Source organism: Homo sapiens, chromosome 10, assembly GCF_000001405.40.
Source record: "Homo sapiens chromosome 10, GRCh38.p14 Primary Assembly".
NCBI lineage: Eukaryota > Metazoa > Chordata > Mammalia > Primates > Hominidae > Homo > Homo sapiens.
In genome coordinates this window covers 28,789,046-28,816,722 of record NC_000010.11, presented here as the reverse complement: position 1 = coordinate 28,816,722, position 27,677 = coordinate 28,789,046, and the positions used below count along the sequence as shown (strand labels likewise).

At 44.4% G+C, this 27,677-nt stretch overlaps 2 long non-coding RNA genes across 4 annotated transcripts in view; one reads left to right on the top strand and one right to left on the bottom strand.

The window, feature by feature from the left end:
• Nucleotides 1–8,503: 8,503 nt before the first annotated feature.
• LINC01517 (long intergenic non-protein coding RNA 1517) overlaps nt 8,504–27,677 on the bottom strand; it is a 64,570-nt gene continuing 45,396 nt past the window's right edge. Inside the window, exons 3-4 of the long non-coding RNA NR_120652.1 lie at nt 10,585–10,676; nt 8,504–8,833 (exon numbers count right to left, since the gene is read on the bottom strand). This is a non-coding gene — a long non-coding RNA (long intergenic non-protein coding RNA 1517). The remainder of the gene's footprint in view (nt 8,834–10,584; nt 10,677–27,677) is intronic.
• LINC00837 (long intergenic non-protein coding RNA 837) lies at nt 20,673–27,412 on the top strand. 3 transcript variants are annotated; one of them, NR_038374.1, is made up of 3 exons: nt 20,673–20,950; nt 22,080–22,181; nt 23,779–27,412. It is a non-coding gene; the product is annotated as a long intergenic non-protein coding RNA 837 (long non-coding RNA). The 3 variants fall into 3 exon arrangements; NR_038376.1 differs by lacking the exon at nt 22,080–22,181 and having other exon boundaries at nt 20,673–20,829; NR_038375.1 differs by lacking the exon at nt 22,080–22,181.

Here is a 27,677-nt window from a genome sequence, read left to right as displayed (position 1 = left end):
TTTTGTGTTTTTGTAGAGATGGGGTTTCACCATGTTGACCAGGCTGTTCTCAAACTCTTGACCTCAAGTAATCTGCCCACTTCGGCCTCCCAAAGTGCTGGGATTACAGGCGTGAGCCACCGTGCCCAGCCACTTACCTTATTCTCTCTTACTGCTGCATAATGCTATGTAGTATTGGAAATATCACAATTTGTTTCCCTAATGATGGACATTTAAATTGAAAATTTTTTGCAATTATGAACAATGCTGCATTGAAAATCTTTACCCATGCCTCTTTCAACCTGTATAACTTTGTACATGTGCAAAGAATTCTCTTGGACAGAAATACAGAAGTGATGATGCAAAGAAAATAGGTATTTTTACTTTTAATAAACACTGCCAAATCAATCTTCAAAAGGCTATTACCAATGCATACTCCCCCAAAATGGAATGCAACAGAATTTTTTTGAATTGCCCAGCTAATGGGTGAAAAATAATCGATCTTCCTTACTTTTGCGAGGTGACAGCGTGCTGGCAGTCCTCACAGCTCTCGGCGCCTCCTCTGCCTGGGCTCCCACTTTGGTGGCACTTGAGGAGCCCTTCAGCCCAGCGCTGCACTATGGGAGCCCCTTTCTGGGCTGGCCAAGGCCAGAGCCGGCTCCCTCAGCTTGCAAGAGAGGTGTGGAGGGAGAGGCGCGAGCAGGAACCGGGGCTGCGCGCCGCGCTTGCGAGCCAGCTGGAGTTCCGGGTGAGCGTGGGCTTGGCGGGCCCCGCACTCCGAGCAGCCGGCCGGTCCTAACGGCCCTGGGCAGTGAGGGACTTGGCACCCGGGCCAGCGGTTGCGGAGGGTGTACTGGGTCCCCCAGCAGTGCCGGCCCACCGGCGCTGCGGTGGATTTCTCGCCGGGCCTTAGCTGCCTTCCTGCGGGGCAGGCCTCGGGACTGCAGCCCGCCATCCCTGAGCCTTCCCCCGCCTCCGTGGGCTCTTGTGCAGCCCGAGCCTCCCCGACGAGCGCCACTCCCTGCTCCACGGCGCCCAGTCCCATCGACCACCCAAGGGCTGAGGAGTGCGAGCGCATGGTGCTGGACTGGCAGGCAGCTCCACCTGCAGCCCCTGTGCGGGATCCACTGGGTGAAGCCAGCTGGGCTCCTGAGTCTGATGGGGCTGTGGAGAACCTTTATGTCTAGCTGAGGGTTTGTAAACGCACCAATCAGCACCCTGTTAAAACAGGCCACTCGGCTCTACCAATCAGCAGGATGTGGGTGGGGCCAGATAAGAGAATAAAAGCAGGCAGCCCGACCCAGCAGTGGCAACCCGCTTGGGCCCTCTTCCACACTGTGGAGGTTTTGTTCTTTTCTCTTTGCAGTTAAATCTTGCTACTGCTCACTCTTTGGGTCCACGCTACTTTTATGAGCTGTAACACTCACCAGGAAGATCTGCAGCTTCACTCCTGAAGCCAGCGAGACCATGAGCCCACCAGGAGGAACGAACAACTGCAGATATGCCGCCTTAAAAGCTGTAACACTCACCGGGAAGGTCTGCAGCTTCACTCCTGAGCCAGCGAGACCACGAACCCACCAGAAGGAAGAAACTCCGAACACATCCGAACGTCAGAAGGAACAAACTCCAGACGCGCCACCTTAAGACTTGTAACACTCACCGTGAGGGTCCAAGGCTTCATTCTTGAAGTCAGTGAGACCAAGAAACAACCAATTCCGGACACACTTTGATCTGTGTTCACTGTTTTACTAACGAGATTAAGAATGTTTTCACATGTAGATTGATTTAAGTGAATCACTTGACTGTTTCCATTTTTATCCATCTTTCTGCCTTTTTTCCTTTTTTTACTTGTATGAGCTCCTGACCTATTATGAATAATAATCTCTATTAACCATGTAGCTTGCAAATATTTTATCCAGAACTGTTGATCATATTTTATTTATATCACTGCATTAAACCTCAATTTTTTTTTCTTGCGATGGAGTCTCACTATGTCACCCAGGCTGGGGTGCGGTGGCGTGATCTCGGCTCACTGCAACCTCTGCCTCACGGGTTCAAGTGAGTCTCATGTTTCGGCCTCCCGAGTAGCTGGGATTACAGGCGTGCGCCACCACACCAGCTAATTTTTGTATTTTTGATAGAGACAGGGTTTCACCATGTTGGTCAGGCTGGTCTCGAACTCCTGACCTTGTGATCCACTTGCCTTGACCTCCCAAAGTGCTGAGATTACAGGCGTAAGCCACCCTGCCCAGCTCAAATTTTTATTGTTGGCAAAAAATTCAAATTTTAAAAGTGGTGCCAATCTTTTCTATTGGCCAGGTGAGTTGGCTTATAATCCCAGCTCTTTGGAAGGATAAGGCAGGAGGATCACTTGAGGCCAGAAGTTTGACACCAGCCTGAGTAACATAGTAAGACCCCGTCTCTACCAAAAAGATAAAAAATAAAAGTTTTAATTAGCCAGATGTGGTGGTGTATGCCTATAGTTCCAGCTACTTGGGAGGATGAAGCAGGAGGACTGGCTGAGCCCAGGAGTTGGAGGCTGCAGTGAGCTATGATCATACCACTGTACTCCCACCTGGGTGACAAAGTGAGACCCTGTCTCTAGAAAAAAAAGAAATTTAAATCTATTTTATTAATCTGTGTATTTTCCATTCTATATAAACTAGCAGATCAGCTTGTCAAATTTCATAAAATATCCCTGTTATGGTCTGAATGTGGCCCCCCAAAGTTCATGTGTTGGAAATTTAAAGCCCAGTGCAACAATGTTGAGAGATGAGACCTTTAAGAGGTGATTAGGTCAGGAGGGCACTACATAAATGAATTAATGAAGTTATTGCAGGAGTGGGTTAGTTATCTCAAGAGTGGATTCCTGATAAAAGAATACATTTGGATCACCTTCCCTGTCTTACTCTAGCCCTCTCTCTTGTCCTATCAACTCCTGCCATGGGATGATGCAGCACCAAGGCTCTCACCAAATGCTGGCACCATGCTCTTGGACTTCCCAGCCTCCAGAACTATGAGCCAAACAAATTTCTGCTTATTATAAATTACCCAGTCTGTGGTGTTGTTATAGCAACATAAAATGGACTAAAACAATCCCTTTGTAATTTTTCATGAGGTTGCATTGAATTAATAGATGATTTAGAAAAAAATTGACACTTTCACAATTTTTATTCTTACCATCCAAAAACATGATATGTGTGCTCATTCCACTTTTCTTTTGTCTTCCAATAAAATTTTATGTGTTTCTTTACATTAGGTTTATGTCTAGAATTTTTCTCCCCACAGGTTTGAAATGAACTTTAATTAGCTTTTGTCTCCAGAATTCCCCATCGATGCCTGGGCTTTAGGGTTCTCCTCACCCCCTCCAATTTGAAGGTCCAGACTGGAAAGAAGAGACACAAGAGGGGACAGAAGATTACCTAGCACAAAGTTGCAGGGGGGTTGTCTCCCTGGCAAGAGATCCCAGGGCCCAATGCCTCTCCAGCCCAGCCACAAGTACTCAGAGTGTCAGAACATATTTTTGTAATGAGAAGCGTGGGCCCTGCCTCTCCCCACTCATGGAGCAGGTGGGTGTCCTGCAGCCTTGGGGGTCACTTCAGTGGGGCAGTGGGCGTGGGCCCAGCAGAGGCACTGACAGCGAGAAGTGGCCAAAAAGAGGGTTGCACACCACCATCTCCCTGTTCGGGGCCACGCCTGGACACCTGTACACCATAAAGTCACTGCTTTCATTCTCATCTGCAGAGTCCAGCTCCTCAGGAGGCTCTTTCTGCAGCTCCAGCTGTAGTATCTGTTAACCTCTGGTGCTGGTAGTGATACATTTGCACGCTGGGCACCAGCTGCTGCTTGCAGGCTGTGTGGAGGCAGAGGAAGAGTCAATTATTTTACCACCTAACTAAAATCCTTCCTTCCTTCCTTGCTTGCTTCCTTCCTCCCTCCCTTCCTCCTTCCCTCCTTTCTCCCTTTCGTTCTCTTTCTTTCTTTCTTTCTTTCAATTCTTTTACCACCATAACTAAATTACTTTTTCTTTCTTTTTCTCTTTCTTTTCTTTTCTTTTTTGTTGACAGGGTCTTACTCTGGAGTTCAGTGATGTGATCATAGCTCACTGCAGCCTGGAACTACTGGCCTCAAGCGCTCCTCCCACATCAGGTCTCCCAAAGGGCTGGGATGACAGGCATGAACCACCACACCCCACTTAAAATATTTTCAAGACTTTCTCTAACTGTTTATTGACGGTACATTGAATTACTATTTTTCACCCATTCACTCAACAGGCGTTTGTTAAATGCTTACCATGTGTGGTATTGCAATTCTGTTTCTAGAAAGGGATCCCGAACTAGACCCCAAGAGGGGATTCTTGGATCTCTCGCAAGAAAAAATTCAAGGCAAATCCAGAGTAAGGTGAAAAGCAAGTTTATTAGAGAAGTGAAGAAATAAAAGAATGGCTACCCGATAGGCAAAGCAGCCCCAAGGGCTGCTGGTCGGCTATTTTTATGGTTGTTTCTTGATTTTATGCTAAACAAGGAGTAGATAATTAATGAGTTTTCCCGGAAAGGGGTGGGCAATTCCCAGAACTGAGGGCTCCTCCCCTTTTTAGACTATATAAGGTAGACATTGCCATGGCATCTGTAAACTGTCATGGCACTGGTGGGAGTGTCTTCTAGCATGCTAATGCATTGTAATTGGCGTATAATGAGCAGTGAGGATGACCAGAGGTCACTTTTCTCTCCATCATGGTTTGGGTAGGTTTTGGACAGCCTCTTTACCGCATCCTTTTATCAGCAAGGCCTTTGTGACCTGTACTTTGTGCCAACCTCCTATCTCATCCTGTGACTTAGAAAGCCTTTATTTCTAGGAATGCAGCTCAGTAGGTGTCAGCCTCATTTTACCCAGCCTCTATTCAAGATGGAGTCGCTCTAGTTCAAGCATCTCTGACAATTTTGATTGTCTACTGTTGGCCGGGCATAGTGGCTCAAGCCTGGAATCCCAGCACTTTGGGAGGACAGGGCAGGTGGATCACTTGAGCTTAGGAATTTGAAACCAGCCTGGCCAACATCGTGAACCCCCCCGTCTCTACTACAAATACAAAAATTAGCCAGGCTTGGTGGCAGGCACCTCTAGTCCCAGCTACTTGGGAGGCTGAGGCAGGAGAATCAGTTGAACCCGGGAGGTGGAGGTTGCAGTGAGCTGAGATCGTGCCACTGCACTCCAGCCTGGGCAACAGAGCAAGACTCCATCTCCAAAAAAAAAAAAGTCTTCTGTAGGGATACAAATGATTGAGTTTCGTATGTTCATCTCTACACAAGAAGCTATAGGATGAAATATCAGAGAATAAATTTTAATAACCAAGGTTGAATGGACAGAGAAGGCCAAAAAGTTTCAAGGAAAAGCAAAGCACTTAGAAACGTTTCCTAGTACATTTTCAACCACATTTCAAACGTCTCCTACATAAAGCAACACAGGAGAATTTTCTATCCAGTGGTGGCCAAGGTTTTTCTCTTCCTGTGGGCATGCCATCTTCCTCACAAAGAACCAAAAATACACAACTGTGGGTCCGCTTCCTCCACTCACTGCCAACCCACCCCCTTGTTTTGCATTTGATGCTGTGAAGTTCAGAGTTAACTTGCTTGGTCAACCATAGCAAGCTTGCAGTGCATTATCCGTATTCTCTTCTCCCACCTACCTGATTCGGTTTTCGCTTTTGTTCATGTTTTAAATTTGGGTTTCCTATAAACTCCCAGGAAGCAAGGCAAGGAGGGAGAAGAAAATATTTCTAAGTATCTGGGACACTAGTTGGTACAAAACAGGTTCGAAGGAGATTGTTCCTTCACATTCCTGAGACTCCCAAGGACAAGGTCAATCAGATCTGCTCCCCTTCTCCCTCCCCGCTCCCCGCTCCTGCCCCCAGCCTAGGTTCAGTGGAGACCATGTTATCCCTACTGACCGCCAGCCTTTCCGCTCTGGGGCTGGACTTCTCTCCCTAAGTCACCTCTGACTTCTCAGCCAGCAACTCTGTTCTTTCCGGCTGCCAGGGACAGACAGGACGTGAATCCTTTCATTGTAAAGACAGAAGTATTTTCTTGAGTTTCTTTTTTCTTTTTGAGTCTTTGGAAGGAGAAAAGGAAGGAACCTTCTTTCAAGGCCTGAAACAGTTTTAAAAGTTGCGTGCTCATGGCAAACAGCATTTCTCATTCTGTTTATGTGTTTTCTGCCCCACAATTCTGAATGACTCAGATGACAAAAAAAACAATCCAGGCCTGGGGGAGGGGCACCCGCAGGGGTGGTTGTTGCTTTTCATATTGTGAGGCATAAATGATACAAAATGCCAAAAGAAGCTGGAAACCAATTTTAACCTGAACTACAGGTTTGCATTTTTCCCATTTCTCTGCCTTCTCTCTGTCACCTCCATCCCACCCCCACATCCAACTTAGCTTTTCTATTGCAAATAGCAGGGCCCAGGATTTGAATGAAAGCAGAAGCTGTTTCCTCTGCTTATGATCTGCAGACAGCTGCATCACAATTTGGGCGACTTTTGCAGACTTGCCACCAATTGTGAAATAAATAACTTATCTGATTTATGCCATTTGAGTAGAAGAAAACTACGAAATAATAGATACAAATAAAGAGGTTTCTTGTTCATTTATGCACAAGAAACCTCTTTATTTGTATCTATTATTTAGTGAAGGCCATAATTAGATGAATAGCTGGACTTTAGATTTTTGTATCTTTAGGCTCGAGCAAGAGTACAATAACAAAGAATTTACAAAAAAAAAAAAAGTAATCAGGACAACCTTGTAGTAGATTTTTGACCCTTGAATAATTCAGAACCCAAAATCTACGAGAGCTACACTCCATCTGAGACAAGGAGAAATGATTCTTTCACTGCAAGAATTTCTAAAAAAATCAACTGACAAATTTTTAGCTGAAAGGGAAATCTCCCATCGAGTTTATTGAATGATAGTCATTGTTACTTAAAACAGACTCTCGTGTTCGGTTCTGATTGCAGGGTTGTGCAGTTTTTCTGTTTTTAAAACTGATGGCATTCAACGTGGCACAGGAAAGAATTCTCCCAGCCATTTTCATAATTATCTACATTTAAATTCTCCCCTTAATAAAGAAGTCCTTTTTTCCCTCAGCATCCTTATTCTTTAATAGCATTTTACCTGATTGCAAAAGTAACACCTGTGCATTGTAAACATTTTGGAAAATCCTGAAAATCACAGGGAAGAAATATACAAATCATTTGTTTCTCCAGCACCTACCAATAACTATTAATCACATTTTAATGTTTAGTCTTCTAGTCTGTACTTCTCAATATGAAAATATTCACATTCTTCACAAAAATAAGAATATGACATTTTTGCTTTTTCACAAACCATTAAAAATCTTCACCATCCTGGTTGCAAGTAGATGCCATCCGATGCTGCACCATAATTTTTTCCACGGATTCTTTCCTCCTGGGCATTTGGGCTTTTCCGGGTGGCTCCATGAACAATGGAGTTCATGGTTATAGTCATGAAGAACATAGAGTCTAATTCAACTCACCCTAATGTGACACTTCTACCCCTGTGACCAAGAATTCTCCTGGCGGGGAAAACATAACAGGAAAATATTTCACACACTTTTGGGTGAGGGTTGGCTAAACTAGACTTTAGTGCAATGATTAACATTTCAATGGTGAACTCCTCATTGGCTAGGTATACGTTCAAGCAGCCAACCAAGAAGGGGGAAAGTTCTCTCTTGAGCTTTAAACATATATTCTCTATGAAGTTACGCCTTCCCTCATTCCCTAAGAGTAAGGAAAGCTCTTTTGAACTTTTATATTCCTTTTTTGCTCTGAACTCCGTTATAATGTTTCTCTCAATTGTCCCTTTTTCCATAAAACTTTCACCCACTTTCCCCTCGGCCATCTCGATTAGCCCAGGCCCCCACAACACCGGATCTGCTCCTGTCCTGGGGTAACCATCATTATCTGTTATCTTAGGGCTATTTTAAACAAACCCCTTTTATCTTTTCTCCCAGTTTTTTTCTTTTTTCCTCCATTAGAGTTTATGTCTGATTCAACTTGGTAGCCCCACACAGTAGGCACTCAATAAATATTTGTCGAATGATTCTTTCAAGGCATCTCGGTCACAAAACTTTTTCTGCATTTAGGTCTCTCACAGGCTGGAGGCCACAGTTTAACAAAGCCAGGGCAAGGTCAGAGGGAGGCCGAGAAGGCGCTTTCAAGTTGAGTAATGAAAGGCGATGTTAATTACTGACATGGGCCATTTAGAAGGAAGAAAAATGCTATCTCTTATTAATTTTGCTGAAATGGACACACTCTTGTCAGTGGCTAATGGTTAACAAAGCCATTCTTTGCTAAAGGACAGGGCAGGAAAACCTCAGTTACGAAAGGACCAGAGCAGCCACAGTGCAGAAACTTCCTGCCCCTACACGCCTGCACCCGCCAGAGATAACGTCTTTCACCATTTTTTCCCCATGTATAAAGTTAGACGGAAAACCATCAAGGAGAGGTTAAAAGTTGCATTTCTACCAAGATGTTTATGATGGGCTTACAGGGAAGCCAGGCTCCGGCAAAGGACACAGGAATCAAGTTTACATTTTAATGGAGGGAGGCGGGAGGTGGAAAGAGGAAAAAAAGTCAGCTTGTGGAGTGGGAATTCCTCATCCTGTTAGTGGGTAACACTAATTCAATCAAGAAGAAAGGGTTTGTTGAACAGACGCTCTCCCTGCGATTTCAGCCTGCCGGATCATCTTGGTGGAAGTTCATAAATGCGTCTGAAATGCTCCCAGCCTTTCAGTCTGAACACGCGGTTTTGGCAGTTGTGAACTTCAAGTAGACCTATTTAAGCTGATCAGAGGAAACAGGCTGACAGTGAGCTGATTAGAAACCTCTTAGGGACCCTTCTTTAAAGAGGGAAAGGAGTTATTTTTTTCCATCATCTTTAGAGACCCAGGGGTGGGTAATAAAAAAGAAAGGTTGCAAGTGGGGTGGGAGTGGGGGTTGTGGGGGAAAGGAAAACATCCATTTTAGAACACGAAGAAAAACAACTGCTTTGCCAGCCCTTTCCCAACCTCCTCGCTCTTGTCAATTTCTGCTTTGAGGGAATGTTTGAAGATAACAGGAAAGGAAATCATGAAATGATATGGCAAGGATGAGTGAGGCTTAAAGAGACGAACACAAGCTGTTTCCTTGACCCAGGCTTATCTCAAGCCTGCCAAAAAAATAACCATCTATCACAGACCCATAAATAGGTTAGGAACATGAGAGTAAAATGCTGCTTTTAATGATAAAGCGATTGGTGAGTTAGTTTAGAAAACAACCATCTCAGACATCTTAGGCTTAACAGATGCACACAAAGGTATACTTTTGTCTCCAGGGGTGGGAGGTGGGGGCAAGTTCTTGAACAAGCTGAATGTGTTTTAGGAAGCAGGAGCTCCACTTGAGAAAAGTTATAAACATGAACATTCAGAAAGAACATTTCAAAACCTCTCTGGGGAAAATAGGAGTTGCTGACAATAATACACATGCAGGGAGCGATTCCACTGCAAAATCTAAATGAGTGAGAAAGCTACCTCTTTGCTAGCCGCAAAGCCTTATCAGCAACAAAAAGTTCAGGTTAAGAATTTGCTTTCCAAACCGATACCCCACAGTTGACCTAAAATAGAGCAGGCAGTCAGGTTTCTCGTTGGGGCCCTTGAGAAAAAGTCTGCAAACCTGATCCCTGCTGAAATACTCCAGGAAGAACCAGATTCTCTGGGTTACAGCCCTTAAGATCACAATAGGAGTTTCCATTCCAGACCTTCAACTGAAAATGAAGTTTACAAATTAGCTTTGAATAAATATTATGCTTCCAGTCTCCAGTGAAGAGCCACAGCTCTGAGAGAAACCAAATTAGAAAAAGACGCGATTCAGCTCCCAAACACACAGAACCAAGCCCAAGCCAACCTAGCCTGGCATGTTTCTCTTCTTGCGCTACCAAAATAGCATGGTGATGTCATGCTTTCATTCGTCCCCCAAAACCAGCCACCCTGCCCTCCTAAAAATAGCTTGATGCACTTTTAAAGGGAAAAAAGGGGGAGTCAAAATATTTTTTGAAATAAACTTTTTTTCACTTAAACCGTCAAGCAATAAAAGACTATCTTTTCTTTCCTGTTTACTTTGTCTCCCAGACTCTGTGTGTGTGTGTGTGTGTGTGTGTGTGTGTTTCCCAAAGTCCCTCTGAAAATCATACAAGAAGGAAAAGCCTTTTCCAAAATAATTTATGTAGTCTGACTTCTGAGGCCTTCTCGTGTTTGTAAATTTTCTCTTTGTTCTTTGCCAGTGAATGAACCAGACTCAGGATTAACCAAGGACTTATTTAGGAGTCCTCTGAAAAATATAAGCATATTTGTAGGGAAGAGGACCGACTTAAAGAGACTGCTAGACATCAGGGACATAGATCAGTGATTCTCGAGGCTGTTTGAGCCTCCAGACACTTGTAACACTTTGAGATACGAAAGCTTTGGACTCACTAGGGACCTGAAGAATCATTTAAGTAAGGCCCAACCATCTGCATCATTCAAAAGAAACCCAAGGTAGCCATGTGTGGGGGCTCATACCTGTAATCCCAGCACGTTCAGTGGCTGAGGTGGGAAGATCCAGGTCAGGAGTCTGAGATCAGCCTGGGCGACATGTGGAAATCCTGTCTATACTAAAAATACGAAAAAAAAAAAAAAAATTAGCCAGCCATGGTGGCAAGTGCCTATAATCTCAGCTACTCAAGAGGCTGAGGCAGGAGAATTGCTTGAACCCGGGAGGCAGAAGTTGCAGGGAGGCAGAGGTTGCAGTGAGCCAAGATTTTGCACCACTGCACTCCAGTCTGGGCGACAGAGTGAGACTTCATCTCAAAAATAAAAAAAAAATAAAAGAAGTTAGCTGGGCATGGTGGCATGCACCTGTAGTCCTAGCTACTCAGGAGGCTGAGGCAGGAGGATCACTTAAAAGGCCAGGAATCCAAGGCTGCAGTGAGCCATGATCATGCCACTGCACTCTAGCCTGGGCAACAGGGCAAGAAAAAGGAGTAGGGAGCTTGGAGGGAGGTGGCGATGGTTAATGGGTACCAAAAAAAAAAAAATGAGTAAGACATACTATTTGATTGCACAACAGGGCAACTATAGTCAATAGCAATTTAATATACATTTCTAAATAACTAAAAGAGTATAATTGGGTTGTTTGTAACACATAGGATAGATGTTTGAGAGGATGGATACCCCATTCTTCATAAATTGCCTGCCTGTATCAAAACATCTCATGTACCCTGCAAATATGTACACCTACTATGTGCCCACAAAAATTTTAAAATACATTTTTAAATTAAAAGGAACCCAGGTGACTCCGAGGCTTATTCAGCATTAGGAAGCACCCATCAGACTTGGCATGAAGGCCGATGTTCCAAAGAGCAAGCTCTCATGTCCCTCTCCCCACACCAAAAAGCAGTACCTTGTCCCAGCTCTTCTGGACACAGCCAACACCAGCTATTCCAGCTAGATTCATGATTTCAGAACATCCCTTAAAGTAACTTAGCATCTCTCCCACTTCCTTCATTTCTCATAAATTGCTATAGGTTGCCTTTGATCTCGGAGTAGACTCCCTATAAAAAGGAGGCAAAGTAACTGAGATGAAAAACAAACTTTGCCCAAGAATCCAATAAAAGATGAGTGGAGAGGGTTGCTGCCAGAGATAGGAGATTTCATTCACTAAGTCTTAAGACAGAGGCAGGGTAATGGTTAATCACTTGTTTGAGTCAAACTTACCCCCTAGTTAGGAAGGCTGGCTGTCATTTACCTGAGGGTTACATTAGAACAAAAACAAGTCCAAAAAAAAGATGGTTTCTAAGAATAAAAATATCTCTCTTTCTGGGGTCTTCTTAACTTTGTCAGAGTGCTTCCACATCTATTGTCTGTTTTTATAACTAATCCCGTAAGTAACTACATATTTGTTTGTTTTGTTTTCTTTTGAGACAGAGTCTCACTCTGTCTCCTGGGCTGGAGTGCAGTGGTGCGATCTCGGCTCCCTGCAACCTCCGCCTCCTGGGCTCAAGCAATTCTCATGCCCCAGCCTGATGAATAACTGGGATTACAGGTGCAGGCCACCATGCTGGCCTACTTTTTCTATTTTTGGTAGAGATGGGGTCTCACCATGTTGCCCAGGCTGGTCTCGAACTCCTGGCCTCAAGTGATCCACCTGCCTCAGCCTCCCAAAGTGCTGATTACAGGCGTGAGCCGCCGCATCCGGTGATATTTGTATATAAGATCTATTAACCAGCCTGTAATCCCAGCACTTTGGGAGGCTGAGGTGGGCGGATCACGAGGTCAGAAGATCGAGACCATCCTGGCGAACACAGTGAAACCCTGTCTCTACTAAAAATACAAAAAAATTAGCTGGGCGTGGTGGTGGGTGCCTATAGTCCCAGCTACTCGGGAGGCTGAGGCAGGAGAATGGCATGAACCCAGGAGGTGGAGCTTGCAGTGAGCGGAGATCGCACCACTGCACTCCAGCCTGGGCTACAGAGCGAGACTCCGTCTTAAAAAAAAAAAAAAAAAAAAAAACAACAACAACTATTAACCCAGCAAATTTTAATATTGTTGTCATTCCCTAGCTTAAGAGAAATATAGGAAAATTTTCACGGGATTATGAAATTGGTTTCTAAATACCCAGTATCTTTACAATTTATTTTTTAACTTATCAAGTGAAATATCACCAGTATGTTTATAATTTATTTTTAACTTAATTTTTATTTTATCAAATCAAATATCTGTCAGCGTTACTTTAAAAGCATTAAGACTTTGGCCTAAGTTGGACCACTGAAGTAGGGCATGTTTTCAAATTTCTGTCTTTGATCAGTGCTTTTCCTAAACCACAAGTAAATGAGAACCTCATCAACCTTAAAGATATGACAAAGTAAAGGACGTTTTAGTGCCTCCCCTGGTAAACCATTTCTATTTTCCTTGACGCACTGTCAGTGACAATGTAGACTTGATACCTAATTATACACTTAGATTCTTATGAAATTACTGAAATGGCTTCGTTGTCTGGAGTATCACCCGAGGTTCGTGGTCTCACAGCCAAGGAGAACAAGGACGCAGGCGCACAAAAGAGTGAGGTTAAGAGCAGAAGTTTAATAAGCAAAAGAAAGAGAATAGCTCTCTGATGCAGAGAGGGGTCCTGGAGAAATGGTTTGCCAGTTCAACAGTGAAATGCAGGGGGTTTTATAGCTGAGCTGGTGAGGAGGTAGTGTCTGATTTACACAGGGCAAGAAAGACTGGTTGGACCCGGTGTGCCATTTGCATAGGGTACGAATTTCTGGCCACCCCCACCCTAATCTTTTATTATGCCTGGCCTGCGCCATGTTGCCCATTGCTTTACTGTACACGTAGTAACAGTACACGTGGTAACAAAAAAAAAAAAGAAAAGATGGAGCTTCCATGTTGGACATTCCTGGTCCCGAGGTAGCCCTTTTCTGTTGGCACAGCTGCCAGCATTCCCCCATGCAAGTTTCCAGTATCTATTTTTGCAGCTGGATTTTTCAGGGTGCTCTTTGTTAGAAAAAAAATAATTTCTTGGGCTGCTTTTTTGCTAAAAGGGAAGCTCTGCCAAGGACTCTGTTGCCCTCACTCTCTGCCTAATTTCTTTCTACCTCCTATATCATTACCTTGCATGTGATCTCCAACAAACGAAGTAATCTCTACTTTCTCTGAACTTTCCCAGCAATCTTGGTTTCCAGCTTTTACTTCACACCTTTGGGTTCCTCAAGCACCCCCAAGTTCTCTCAGACTCCTCCAAGAATTTAGTGAAATGCCTAGTAGGAACAAGGGCAAGATAGTGTCTATAGTCTACAGCGACTCAGAAAACCAGAGGAAGGAGAGATCCCTCCAAAACAGGCTCATCAGGAAACCTTAATGGCTGAGACAGGTTCTTTGTTGTTATTGACGTTGTTGAAATAAGTTCTCATTCTCTCAGTCAGTCTGTCACCCAGGCTGCAGTGCAGTGGGGCAATCATAGCTCACTGCAACCTCCAACTCCTTGGCTCAAGTGATCCTCCCTCGTCAGCCTCCCAGGTAGCTGGGACTACAGGCATATACCACCATGCCCAGCTAATTTTCTTTTTTTTTTTTTTTATTTTTTGGGAGATGAGATCTTGCTATGCTGCCCAGGCTGGTCTTGAACTCCTGGGCTTAAGCCATTCTCCCACCTTGGCCTCCCAAAGTGCTGAGATTATAGACATGCGCCACTGTGCCTGGCCAAGGGAGACAGGTCTTGATCTGGGCTTTAAAGGATGGATCAGGATGCAGGGAGGAATCATTGGCTTTGTATCAGAAAGTATTCAGGGTTTACCTGGAGCAAGAACAAGCACAGGGTGTGGTGGGGGGCACCCCTGGGAGGGAAAAAGCAACTAGAAGATTGTTCTTATTTGAGAGACAGGTCTGTGGGAGACTCCTAGAAATGAAGTTGGAAGGAAAAGGTGGCAGAAAACCCAATAAAGCCTGAATGCCAAGGTGAGGGACTTGGAAATCATCAGAAGAAAGGCCTCTGAGAGCCACTCCTAACTTTTAAAGAGAGTGACATTTAAGAGGTTTAAGTTGGCAGCCATATGCAAGATGTGTCAGAATGAGGTAAATAAGCAAACTGGGTGAGAGGCAAAAGGGCCTCGACCAAGGTTTATTGATAAGTATGTTGCCCAAGACTGAGTCAAAAGTCTTGCTAAAGTCAATCTAGATTAAATCTGTCCCTTGCCTTTAACCTAGCAGGCCAATCAAGGTCTCCAAGGAAGAGATGCAATTCCTCAGAGTAGGTCTTGGTTATGAAGCCAAGTGAGTTGTTATTCACAGTTTGTGTCTCTGAGATGGGCACACATGCAGATGTGCTGATTATTTCCCTTTTTCCATTGCTGGTCACTTCCTGGCCAAATTGTCTAAAAACAAAAGAATCACAGAGTCTTAGCACTGGACATAATCTCAGCAATCCTGTGGTTCCTATCATGCACTGGTACATCATTTTGCACTGAGAGCCGATCATGTGACCGGAACTGTGCTGGAGGAGGGAAATGGAACACAGTAGTCTCACAGGAGGCAGAAGCACCTCATCACCAAGCACCCCAGCTTGTCCAACTCCTTCATTTTACAGATGGGCAAACTGAGAAACAGACACATCAAGTGACATATCCACATTCACACAGGTATTTGCGGATCCAGGTTAAATACGCAGACAGACCAGGCGCGGTGGCTCACGCCTATAAACCCAGCATTTGGAGAGGCCAAGGCAGGAGGGTCACCTGAGCACAGGAATTCAAGATCAGCCTGGGCAACACAGCAAGATCCCATCTCTACAAAAAGTAAAATACAATTAGCCAGTTGTGGTGGTACATGCCTATAGTCCCAGCTACTCAGGAGGCTGAGGAGGAAGGATTGCTTGAGCCCAGCAGTAGGCTACAGTGAGCTATGATCACACCACTGCACTCCAGCCTGAGCAACAAAACAACATCCTGACTCTTAAAGAAGAAAATACAGACAAATAGAAATATACACGAAGACTTTATATATATGTGATGTATGTGCAATATATACATATGTCTTTGTGGCTATGTATGTAAATATATATGTATATATATAAAAGCTCTGTGGTCATTATGACTATCAAAGAGTTAATAAGTGGACACCGTAATCTGGCACACACAATGCAGATAGCAAAGCTTCCCTTTGATTCAGTTACAGGAAACATATTAATGATCTTTATCACTGGACTCCCTCAGGAGAAGTAACCCGGGAGCAGAAAGGGATAACTTTTGAGAAGCACAATCATTTATTAACACGCCCACCATCCCTTAAGTACCAGTAACTACAAAGCATTCCACTCTCAGAATATACTTTCCCATCTTGGGATGCTTTCACTTAAAACAGGCAAAAATTGGTTGCATTCTGTACCAAGGGGCAGCCCTGCTGAATTAGGTCCTGTGGTTTGTTTCCAAGGTATAGCCACCAAACCTCTCCATTCACAGGATTTTTGTGGATTTGGTTTTATCTCTGGACAAGGGACCAGGCTCTGACAAGCTGCAGAAATCACCCCTTTCTCACAGAATAATGAGAAGATTGGAAAAGCCATTTAGTAATAATTTGATCAGCCAATTTTCCTCACCAGTGGGCCTTAGCACAATTGCCTTAATTTCTCCCCTGGGTTGGAGGGGTGTGTGACTGATGGGGACTCCGGTGGTGTCTGCATGGCAGGATGCACACACACACAGGGCTTGCAGCCGACAGAGCTGGAGCAGTGGCCCTGAAAGGCTTAGGGAAAATAGTTATGTTTCAGCTACAAACAAGGCCAAACCTGGAGGTGAAAAGACAATCAACAAAGCCACAATGTTGATACTCCTGAAATGGAAAACAGCTGTCTCTGAGGGAAATGTTGGCTATTCCTCTGTAGCACAGAGGCTGTATGGCAGCCACCCACCCGCCTGACTTCTCAGCAGAGGATTAGTGTTCATGAGAGAGAAGGAAACACGAGACAAACCAGACAAACCGAGTGACAAACCAGGCAAAGTCTACCTGAGAGAAGAGCAAAGGGGAGGGAGAGTAAAAGGAAAAAGCACAAAGAAAGAAGAGTGAGCAATTCTGCAGGAGAAATACTCCCAAGTTAGCAGAATGAAACAACCACAGCGCACTGCATGAAATAACAATCTGGAACTTGGTGATGGTGATCCCTCAAAAGATCTTGGAGGAATCGAATATGATTCCAGCCTTATTCTAAAGAAACTTGGTCAGTTAACAAAAAAAGAAAAAAAAAAAGTCTTTGGCAGAGTGAGGCCAATTGCAGGAGTATTCAACTGAAATGCATATGGTTTGGATGACTTTCAGCTAAAATGAAAATTTAGGATTTCAAGGTATACTTAAGAGGTTTGTTTTTTTAAAAAAACCCATCTCAAAAGATAGGTTAAAAGGAGAGGGGGTGAGAGGAAACCAATTGTACCAGTAGGGGTGCGGGTAAGGAAGAAAACAGGGAAGGAAGAACATGATGCAAAACTCAAGTGAGACCAGAACATTTTTACCGGGAAAGCCCTGGTTTTAGTTTTTAATCTATATTTTTTTTGAGACAGAGTCTCACTCTGTTGCCCAGGCTGGAGTGCAGTGGCGCGATCTCGGCTCACTGCAACCTCTGCCTCCAGAGTCCAAGAGATTCTCGTGCCTCAGCTTCCCTAGTAGCTGGGATTACAGGTGCGCACCACCATGCCCGGCTAATTTTTGTATTTTTAGTAGAGACGGGGTTTCACCAGGTTGGCCAGGCTTGTCTCGAACTCCTGACGTCAGGTGATCTGCCTGCCTTGGCCTCCCAAAGTGCTGGGATTACAGGCATGAGCCACCATACCCAGCCAGTTTTAATATATAACAAATCTTTTTTTTTTTTTTTTTTTAAGAGACAGGATCTCTCTCTGTTGCCCAGGCTGGAGTGCAGTTGTGCAATCATGGCTCACTGCAGCCTCAACCACCTGGGCTCAAGCAATTCTCCCACTTAAACCTCCCAAGTAGCTGGGACTACAGATGCATACCACCACACCCGCTAATTTTTAAATGTTTTTGTAGAGATGGGGTCTTGCTATATTGCCCAGGCTGGACTCAAGTGACCCTCCCACCTCCCTATGATTACAGGCATGAGCCACTGCACCTGGGCCAACAAATGTTTCTATATCAAAAGAGCTCTGAGTACGAAAAGTTTACAGAATCAAGAAGAGTTCAAGAGTTCTAGAAAGTAGTCTCCCGTGTGGAGCTAGTCTTAGAAAAGAGAGGCTAAATCCTGGATGCAGACACATGGGCAGCCCAAGCTCACTATAAGGCCATATGTTAACCTTCAGTCCCAGAGGCAAGCGGTGAGCCCACATGGGTGATGCCCTTGCAGAGCCAGGACACACTCCTGAATTAGATTTTTGCATACACTTACTTGATTGTTACCCATGATGTCCCAGGATGAGGGAGAACAAGAAGCATTTGTCCTTTTGTGACAGAGGGTCACAGAAACAAGGAGCCAGGGTGAGGAGGGAGTGGAGGAAAATTATATGTTTGAAGGAAGAAGATGGAGAGGCAGCAAGGATGAACATTAAAGGAGGAGGGGGGAGAGAATACAGATCTAGAATTTCTAAATTACCCTTGGCGCAAAGATCTGGTTTACCACTCAAACAGTATAATTATAAAGTTGGCGTAAAGGAGACCAGGGATCTAGTTACTAATTTCTTACTAGCAATAGCATCAAAACCTTCTCTGCTGGTAGCTGGTCTCTTGACAAAAACCGTGTGTCTTGTACATGATGTGACCTATAGGGAGAACTGGTTTTAATCAGGCTGATCTATAAAATGGTATGCGGTTGTGGTCTTGCTTCTCAGATGTCAATCTGAGCAGAGGAGAAAGTGAGGGTTGGAATTGTCAAAGTAACTAAGGTCGGGGGGAAACACTTTACATAAATGCTCCCTTGTCTTGTAGATGCAGTGTATAGGCTAAGTTTGTCAGAAAATTCAGTGGGAACCCTCTGGTGGATTTGAGAAAAATTACCAGAAACATTCCTGTTGTTCATGGTTTTTGGACCAGATTCTGCCCAGCCTCAAAAAGGAAATTCTGGCTTGGTTACAGCCTTAAATGGGTGCTCAAATCCCCTGAACATTTGCTGCAAAAGTACTTTCATTCTTACTCCATTTTGGTTAATAAGAACACCAGGCATCAAAGTCACATCCTGGCCTTATCCCTGTTTACCTTGGCAGTGATAGATATAGCCAGAGTTCCAAAGATTATTCATTTCTAAGGTACAAAATTCCCCTCTCCCCTCTGCCTTTTTTTTTTTTTTTTTCCAGAGACAGGGTCTCACTCTGTCCCCTAGGCTGGAGTGCAGTGGCTGAATCATAGCTCACTGCAGTCTCTAACTCTTGGGGGCAAGTGATCCTCTCAACTCAACCTCCTGAGTAGCTGGGACTACAGACATATCCCACCATGCCTGACTGATTTTTTTTTTTTTTTCTTTTTATTGTAGTGATGAAGGTCACACTATATTGCTCAGGCAGGTCTTGAACTCCTGGCTTCAACTGATCCTCCGATCTCAGCCTCCAAAAGTGCTGGGATTACAGCTATAATCCATGGCACCCAGCCCCATTTTTTTTTTTACAAATTTTACAGAATTTTTACATGGCAGACTTTTTTTCTATCTAATTATTACTTTTGTTTCCTAGGGAAATGCTAAAGTGCAAATGTAGGGTTTTATTTATTTATTTATTTATTTATTTATTTTTATTTTGAGACAAGGTCTCACTCTGTCACCCAGGCTGGAGTGCAGTGACACCATCACAGCTCACTGCAAACTTCATCTCCTGGACTCAAGCCATCCGCCCACTGGACTCAAGCCATCCGCCCACGTCAGCCCCACAAAGTGTTCAGATTATACGCATGAGTCACCACATCAGACCCTGCAAATGTAGATTTTTGAAAAAACAACTGCAACATTTTAGCCCTTTTTAAAATCAGGACCCCTAGGTCTTTCCCAATATAACTAACTAGCCAGTGATTCCTCACTCATCTACCTTTTTTTTTTTTTTTTTTTTTTTTTTTTTTTGATACGGAGTCGCACTCTGTCACCCAGGCTGGAGCGCAGTGGCGCGATCTTGGCTCGATGCAACCTCCGCCTCCCGGGTTCAAGCGATTCTTCTGCCTCAGCCTCCCGAGTAGCTGGGACTATAAGTACCCGTCACCACGCCCGGCTAATTTTTGTATGTTTAGTAGAAATGGGGTTTCGCCGTATTGGCCAGGCTGGTCTCGAACTCCTGACCTCAGTATCCACCCACCTCAGCCTCCCAAAGTGTTGGGATTACAGGCATGAGCCACCGCGCCCAGCCCACTCCCTTTTAAATGCAGATCTTCTGTGGGAGGATTAAGTCACTGAGCCCACAGGGAACTGTGCTGGGAGGGGAAGTGGAGGGTGTGGAAAGCCGGTGGAAAACAAATCTGTGGATAGCCTGTAGGGCAGATGCCTGAGGCTTGGGGAGACTGGGAAAGCAGGTCTCTAAAAGGAACTTCATCCTTTTTCTCCTAGGCCTCAGATGATGCTAGAGTCCTGCCAGAAATTGCAAATAATTCTGGCTCACTTTTGTATTAGTGCAGGTGCGTAGACCAGAGTCTAGAAGAGCAACAACAACGACAATAAAATTCAGTGTGTCCTTGAGGCATTTTCATGAGATGATATTAAATATATAATTAAATACTACTCATTGTTTTTTCTCACAAATATATACCCACCACCTACCAGGAACTGTCCCAGAAATTGATGAGGAAAAAATGATTTTTATGCCATAACTAATCATACCGTAATATGCACTAGAAAAAGCAAAGAACGTAAAATAGTATATCATGGGGACATTCGAATTTATAATCCTAGGAGTGACATGTAAGCTGGGCTTGAAAGAATAACCATAATTTTGCTGAACTAATAAGTAGGTTGTGGAAGAGAGTGCTAGCTGATTAGGAAAACCTCTGCTCTCCTTCTAAGCACGCAGTTAAACCGTTTTCCATCCGTTTTTGCCGTTAAGTGTGGTCATATGACTGAGTTCTAACCAATTAGAATGAGACGGCAAGGGATGTGTAGCTTTTTCAATCCTGGCCATAACATTCTTCTTCATGCTCTTCTCAATGTCCTTTCTCCTTTCATTAGGTAAAATGGAGATGATCCCCAGGGCCATCTTGGAAACAGTTTTTGAAGTTGGTAGAGTCTCGGGCCCGCTTAACTGCTGAAAGAGTAGGAAGGGGTCCGTTTCATTAGCGCGTTCAACCAAAGAGCGCTGTTAGGTGAGCAAAAACAAACCAGTTGTGTCTGAGCCAACACCCGTTTGTCTATGGGTTGTAGCAGTTGGTCCACCTAATCAAGGAAGTGCCGAGAGCACAGGACATGAAAAGACACAGCGCTAAGGTACATGGCACGTTCACGAAGGTACAGGAGAGGCAAGAAATGAGACGGGAAAGGTGGCCTAGGACCAGGTCGTGAATGACATGATAACTAAGTTTTGACTTTTTCTCGTAGGTCAGTGGTTCTCAACCAGCGGCAATTTTGCCTTCCAGGGAACATTTGTCAAAGTCTAGAGACATATTTGGTTGTCTTCACCAAGGGGAGGAGGGAGGGAAGTGCTACTGACATCCATGGGTTGAAGCAAAGGATGCTGCTGAACATCCTGTAATGCACAGGACGGCCTCCCCCACCAAGGAATTACCTGGGCCAAATAGTAGTACTGAAATTGAGAAACCCTGCTGTAGGCAGTGAGACACTAGCAACAATTCTTCTTTTTTTTTTTTTTTTTTTTAAGCTGGAGTCAGGGTCTCGTGCTGTTGCCCAGGCTGGTCTTGAACTCCTGGGCTCAAGCAATCCTCCCGCCCTGGCCTCCCAAAGTACTGGAATTACAGATGTGAGCCATCAAGCCCAGCCACAGCAGTTCTTAAAAGGAAAATCACATAATCATATTTGTGTGTTAGATAATTATAACAACATAGAGGATTCATTGAAGAGAGAGAGGAGATGAGAAAAACAATTTCATCCTTTGTTTATCAAGGACCTATTATGTGTACTTGATCATGCATCAGGCACTACAGATTCAAAGATGAATAAGAGTCCAGCAAGGGAAATAATAAGTACCTTTATGGGACTTGGGGAGACTCAAACTCTGGCCTCGGGTCTTCATCCCCATGAACCTCTTAATTAAAACAAGAGAAGGGCCTGAACTAGAGCAGGGGTTGAGGACATGGAAAAGAGAACCTACTTGAGAAACATCTCAGAAATGAAATGAACCAGGCTGAGTTTTGGAGTGGAAGTAGAAGTTGAGAGCAGTGAAAACCAAAACTGAGGTCTTTATCCTGGGCAACTACACAGATAGTGCTGCTAATAGGAAAATGCAGGAGAAGCAACAGACTTAGAGGACTGTCTTGCAGGGTTTTCTTTCTGAGAGAGAGTAAATATCAAATTCCTATAGGACAGGTACAAGCAACTCACATAAAAATTGCCAACAGCCAAAAAACTGTTTCTTTTTTTTTTTTTTTTTTTGAGACAGAGTCTCACTCTGTTGCCCAGGCTGGAGTGCAGCAGCAAGATCATAACTCAGGGCAAACTTGACCTCCCAGGCTCAAGCGATCTTCTGGCCTCAGCCTCCCAGGTAGGTAGGACTACAGGTGCATGCCACCACGCCAGACTAATTTTTTAAATATTTTGCAGGCCGGGCATGATGGCTCACATCTGTAATCCCAGCACTCTGGGAGGCTGAAGCGAGCAGATCACCTGAGGTCAGGAGTTCGAGACCAGCCTGGCCAACATGGTGAAACCCTGTCTCTACTAAAAATACAAAAATTAACCGGGCATAGTGGTGGGCACCTGTAATCCATCTGCTTGGGAGGCCGAGGCAGGAGAATTGTTTCAACCCGGGAGGTGGAGGTTGCAGTGAGCCAAGATCGTGCCATTGCACTCCAGCCTGGGTGACAGAGCAAGACTCTGTTTCAAAAATAAATGAATATATATATTGAATATATATATACATATTTTTTTTTTTGTAGAGATGGGGTCTCACCTTGTTGTACAGGCTGGTCTTGAACTCCTGGCCTCAAGCAGTCCTCCTGCCTTGGCCTCCCAAAGCGCTGGGATTGCAGGTGCGAGCCATTGCACCTGACCCCAATAAACATTTTAAGAATGTTTGGTGCAAGCCAGGGGTGAGTTGCGCCAGAGGTCTCATATCCAGAGGTCTGAGAACCAGGAGAGTCAATGTTGTCAGCCTCAATTTGAAGCAGAAGGCCTGGGAATGAGAGGAGAATGGGGCTCAGAGGGTGCTGGAGCAAGTCTGGAGTCTGAAGGCCAGAAAATCTAGAGTTCTGATGTCTGAAGATGGGGGAAAAAGATGGATGTTCCAGCTGCAGAAGAGAGAGCAAATTTGCCCTTCCTCGGCCTTTTTGTTGTATCAGGGCCCTAAAGTGGTTGGATGATGGCCATCTACACTGGGGAAGGCAAATCTTCCTCACTCAGTCTCCTGATTCAAATGCTAATCTCTTCCTGAAACGCCCTGCGGACACACCCAGAAATAATCTTTTACCAGCTGTCTGGGTATCCTTTAACCCAGTTAAGTTGACCCATAAAACTAACAATCACATTGGCATTTTAAATACATATAAAATCATTTGCATTAAAATAGTAATACATTCACATTGGCATTTTAAATACATATAAAATCATTTACATTAAAATAGTAATACATATATTTGTAATCGATATAAAACATATATACGTATTTAGATATGTATGCTCTGTAATTCAGCAATTTCACTTCTAGGAATAAATTCTACAGAAATAACCAAATGAATATACTAAAAAGTGCTCTACACTTTTAATGGAGTGTTGTTTATATTTCACTGGAAACAAATGTCCATAAATTGGGGATCGGTTAAATAAATTATAGGACTTTTTGAACTAGATGGAATACTGTACAGCCTCTGAAAATAACATACTCATTGAATGCAAAGATATTCACAGCATTAATAATAACAAATTAACATTAATTAAAGTGACCAAAAGCAGGCTATTAAGCAACCCATATGGTAGAATCACATCAATATAAAACTGTATACATCTAATAAGAATAGAAATTTTTAAATTGGTAAAAAACAAAAGGCAATCATGGTTGCCTCTGGGCGATAGGTTTGTATGTGATTTTCACTTCTTGGTGAACCCGCTAAAGATTCAGTTTTTTTGTTTGTTTTGTTTTTCAGGTTTCCTGCACCACAAGGTTCCTTTCACTTAAAAAAATTTTTTTTTATATTACACCATCTTTATTTGTACCTTACCGTCTAAGGCTATCAATCAAACTTCAGTAAGAACAGTTTCAGCATCAACTAACGAACAGTAGCCAAACCAGAGAGCAGTCAAAAGTGTTTTAAAGGGAGCAGCATCAGCTGATGTTCTGCCAAGTCTCTGGGTGTTCAGGACCATGGTCCCCCGGCACTTCCAGGCCCCTGTGGGCTGCAGGTGGATCCCCAGGAGCCAAAGGGCCGCTCAGGAAAGGGTGGAACTTGGCCTCGCAATCAGCTGGCTTCTGCCTATTATGGTCATCTTCTTTCCAGAGGTCTTGCTATCTCAGTGGACGTGGCTGTCATCCAGCCGTCCTGGGCTGTTTTCTCATAGAAGAGGATCTCCCTCTGAAAACTGTGTCATCCTTCAATTCCTGGGCCAAGTCTGGGGACACATCTTTTCTTAAAGCTTGCTGGTATGACGAGCAGTTCCCATTTTCCTGCACTTTACGAAGTCTCTGAGGTGCAAGCAGTAGACATCCTTCTCCATGGACTCCCCCTGAGGCTGCTTCATGTGTTTTCAGGGCAGTTCAGGCAGATCGGAAACCACTGGCTGCAGCTTCGGGATGTCCCTCTCCAGCTGTGCCCTTGAACCCTGCAGAGAGACCTGCTCGCTGAGCAGACCTTGGGCTTGTGCTGTGAGTTCTGTACTCCTTTGGGTTTCTTCTCACAATCGTATGTCTGCTTTACCAGTCTTTCCCTCGGGACATTCGAAGGAAGCACCTAAATTACCATTGTCATCCATGCTTTCAGAGGGACTTGCGGCCACGATGCTGGGGGACCACCCTGTTCTGCTTCCCTGTTCCCCTCCACTGCCAAGTCCTCATTTTCCATGTCGTCTTTCCTGGTGCAGATGAAGGGTGCTCAGCAGAGCGTGAGCCACCAGGGAAGCCACTCGCCTACTCCAGTTCGAATATTGGGGACTTGAGGCCATCTTGTCTTTTTTGTGTGTGTGTGGCGTCTGATTTACAACTTCTTGGTCGGGCAGCTCTGTGGGTTGCTGATGGTCCATGCTGTCATTCACATCGTCCGTGGTGTGCACTGGAAGATCTCCATGCTGTGAAGCGTGCAGGATGTGCTTCACATCAGTCACTTGGGGAAGTTCAGGAGGCTGCTTTTTCATGCTTTTTTCAGAAGCTCGCCTAGGTTAGGTCCTGATCGGAAGACCTGCTCATTTCCATTAGAACCTTCAAGCAGAGTGTTTGGAGCAATCAAGGACTGGCCCCAGCATGGATAACAGGTAGCTACCACTGGTGTGGGCTGCTGGCTGCATCTTGGCGCAGGCCTTTCTGTGGGCCTCACCTTAGACTGAAGCCCTTTGGGCCAGCCCTTCCCTCCTTCTCACTGCGTGTCGTCTCCTGACCAGAGAGGCCATCACAGCGGTGCACGCCCAGCTCACCCATAGTATCCCTAGGGTCACTGGCACTGGTCCCAGGATTCTGTACATCACTACTTACTGCTGCCCACAGGTGGGCCAGCAGCAGTTGAGGAGGCATTTCGTGGTGAGCAGCAGGTCCTTCATGGCTCTTGAGGGCTCCACAGCTCTTCCTCTTTTCTCTACTGGTATGTGGGTCACAACTGACCACTCAGAACCCTGCAGAGTGTTCCACCTCTAACACAAACAAGGGCTCGCCAACCAGGGCAAACCATCCATTATGCTGGGGGAGGAAAGGCACCGCAAATTCTAGAAAACTGTGTCCCTGATTTTGCTGTGCAAATATAAAGTGACATTACTTAACACAGTGCCTTGGAAGAGGGGAAAGAGTTCACGGCAGCCCCCAGCTCAGGCCACTGCAGGTCCCACCTGGCCTTACAGCATAGCTAGAGGGTCAAAGCCAGTCAAAGCCCCGTGTCCACGCATGATCCTCTCAGGGCAGCGTGATGGCCCGTCCCTGGTGGGGCTCATTACCCTGATTTCAAGTTTCCTTCTGCTGCAGGGAAGCCTGGTCCCGCCTACAAAGAGACTGTCTACCTTGCTAGATTGAACTATAGGACTATGTTTTCTTCATCTCTGTAACCCCAGAAGCTCTCCAGAGACCCTTATACACTAGGGACATGGTCATTGCTTGTCTTGTTTTCTTGTTGACTCTACTCTGACTTAGGGCACATCGCTTTCCCCTCTAGATCTCCATATTCAGATCTGTGAATGACAGTAAGTGGGTGAAGGCCCCTCTAGCTTTAAAACCCCTCCAATACAGAGAGTACACTGAAACCGGAAGCAGAAGCTGAGTGTGGTGAGTGGAGCATTTTCCCTGGCATGATGGAGGGGACCTATGGATCTGGCTATGAGGGTGGCATCTGGCCACTTGAATGGCTCTGCAGAGCTGGACCCTAGTTTTCAAATCAGACTCAAGAATGATCTTTAGTGTGGGTGGTTTTGTGGGGCATATATTTTTTGAGACCTTGTTATTGACACAACAGCTTCTGGGAAGTCTTTTTGACAGAGAGTATGCACAGGTGCGGGCTCCATCTGCTCGGCAGCCGCTGTCTGGTGACGGTGAGCGCTGAGAGCTGGATGGTCCTGTTAGAAAGGCAGCATGCCAGCCTCCGGTGATGAGCAGAGTGACCCGACCTTGTCTCTCCTTCCCCATGGAGCACTGCAGGCTCTTTCCCCAGACCTGCTTCTAGGCTTCCCTTCACCCGCTCCCACCAGGCAGCTGAGGCCACTTTAGGATTCCATTTTTAGTTGTACTTTTTTTTTAATTGATCATTTTGTGAGCATTTTTCTCTCTAATGCAACAGAACTAGCACAAGTCCTTAAAGATGTAGGATCTCTCAGCTCCCACAAAAACAAAGATAATGGCCTATGTAATTCTCTACATATTTAAATTGTTAGCTCTAAAAATAGATTCAGAGAAAGGGTGGACACATGTTCCAATTTTCTCATAACAGTCCTGGGTTGTGCCTGTTATCCTGGCATAGTTATTAATCCTGTCCCCTTTCACTCTCAGACTCTCCTGGTTTGGAGGATAATTTCATTCTATTCAAAGAGGAAATCTACAAAAAGGTGTCATCATCTAACCTGTATTCATATAAACATTTTCCAGTCTCACGGTTCTGTGTACCTCTCCAAACCCCTCAATCTTCTAATCATTTTGTGTATTATTTATAGGAAAAGAGCACCAGCTAAAATATCTTGCCCTTGGATTTCTTCAGCCAGCTGCTGAAGTAATTTGTCTTAGTCTTTACTGAAGACTGAATTGTATCATTAAGACTTTCTTCTAAGTCCTGTTATTTTGACTTTTTGACTCACTCTGTGCCCTCTGATACATAAAGTAGCAATAATTTGTACAATGAGCCATTGTATTTGTTCACGAGAAATTCTTCCTGTTCCTCACATTTCTATTCATTTTCCTAAAGGTATGTATTTGAAAACTTGAAAAATTGCCTGGCCCAGTTATAGTTTAATGGGAGCATTTAAACATACTTTTCCTACAAAGCTTATCAGTTAGTTACTTAACCTTTATGAATAGGTTAAATATTTTCCACAGTATTTATATAAATATGATACTTGGTTTCAAGTTAAATCTAATAAAAAGGAAGTTATTCTTGACTTAAATTACTCCCATTTCTTTTCATTTGTTTTTATCTTCCTCTTTTTTATGACCACTTGACTAAGAAAGAAATTCACAAGGCAGATGTGGAAATGTCGCTTTATAAATACAAGATTCAGCCAGTACACTGTTGTTGTCCCTGTTTTAAGAAAAGAAAAGGTAACTATTCCTCCTGGATATATGCTTTGGCCATGAAAGTGAGGTCCAAAATCAAGTCAAAGGGCTGTGTCGAGTTTAGAAAAGAAAAAAAAAAAGCCCTGGAAATGA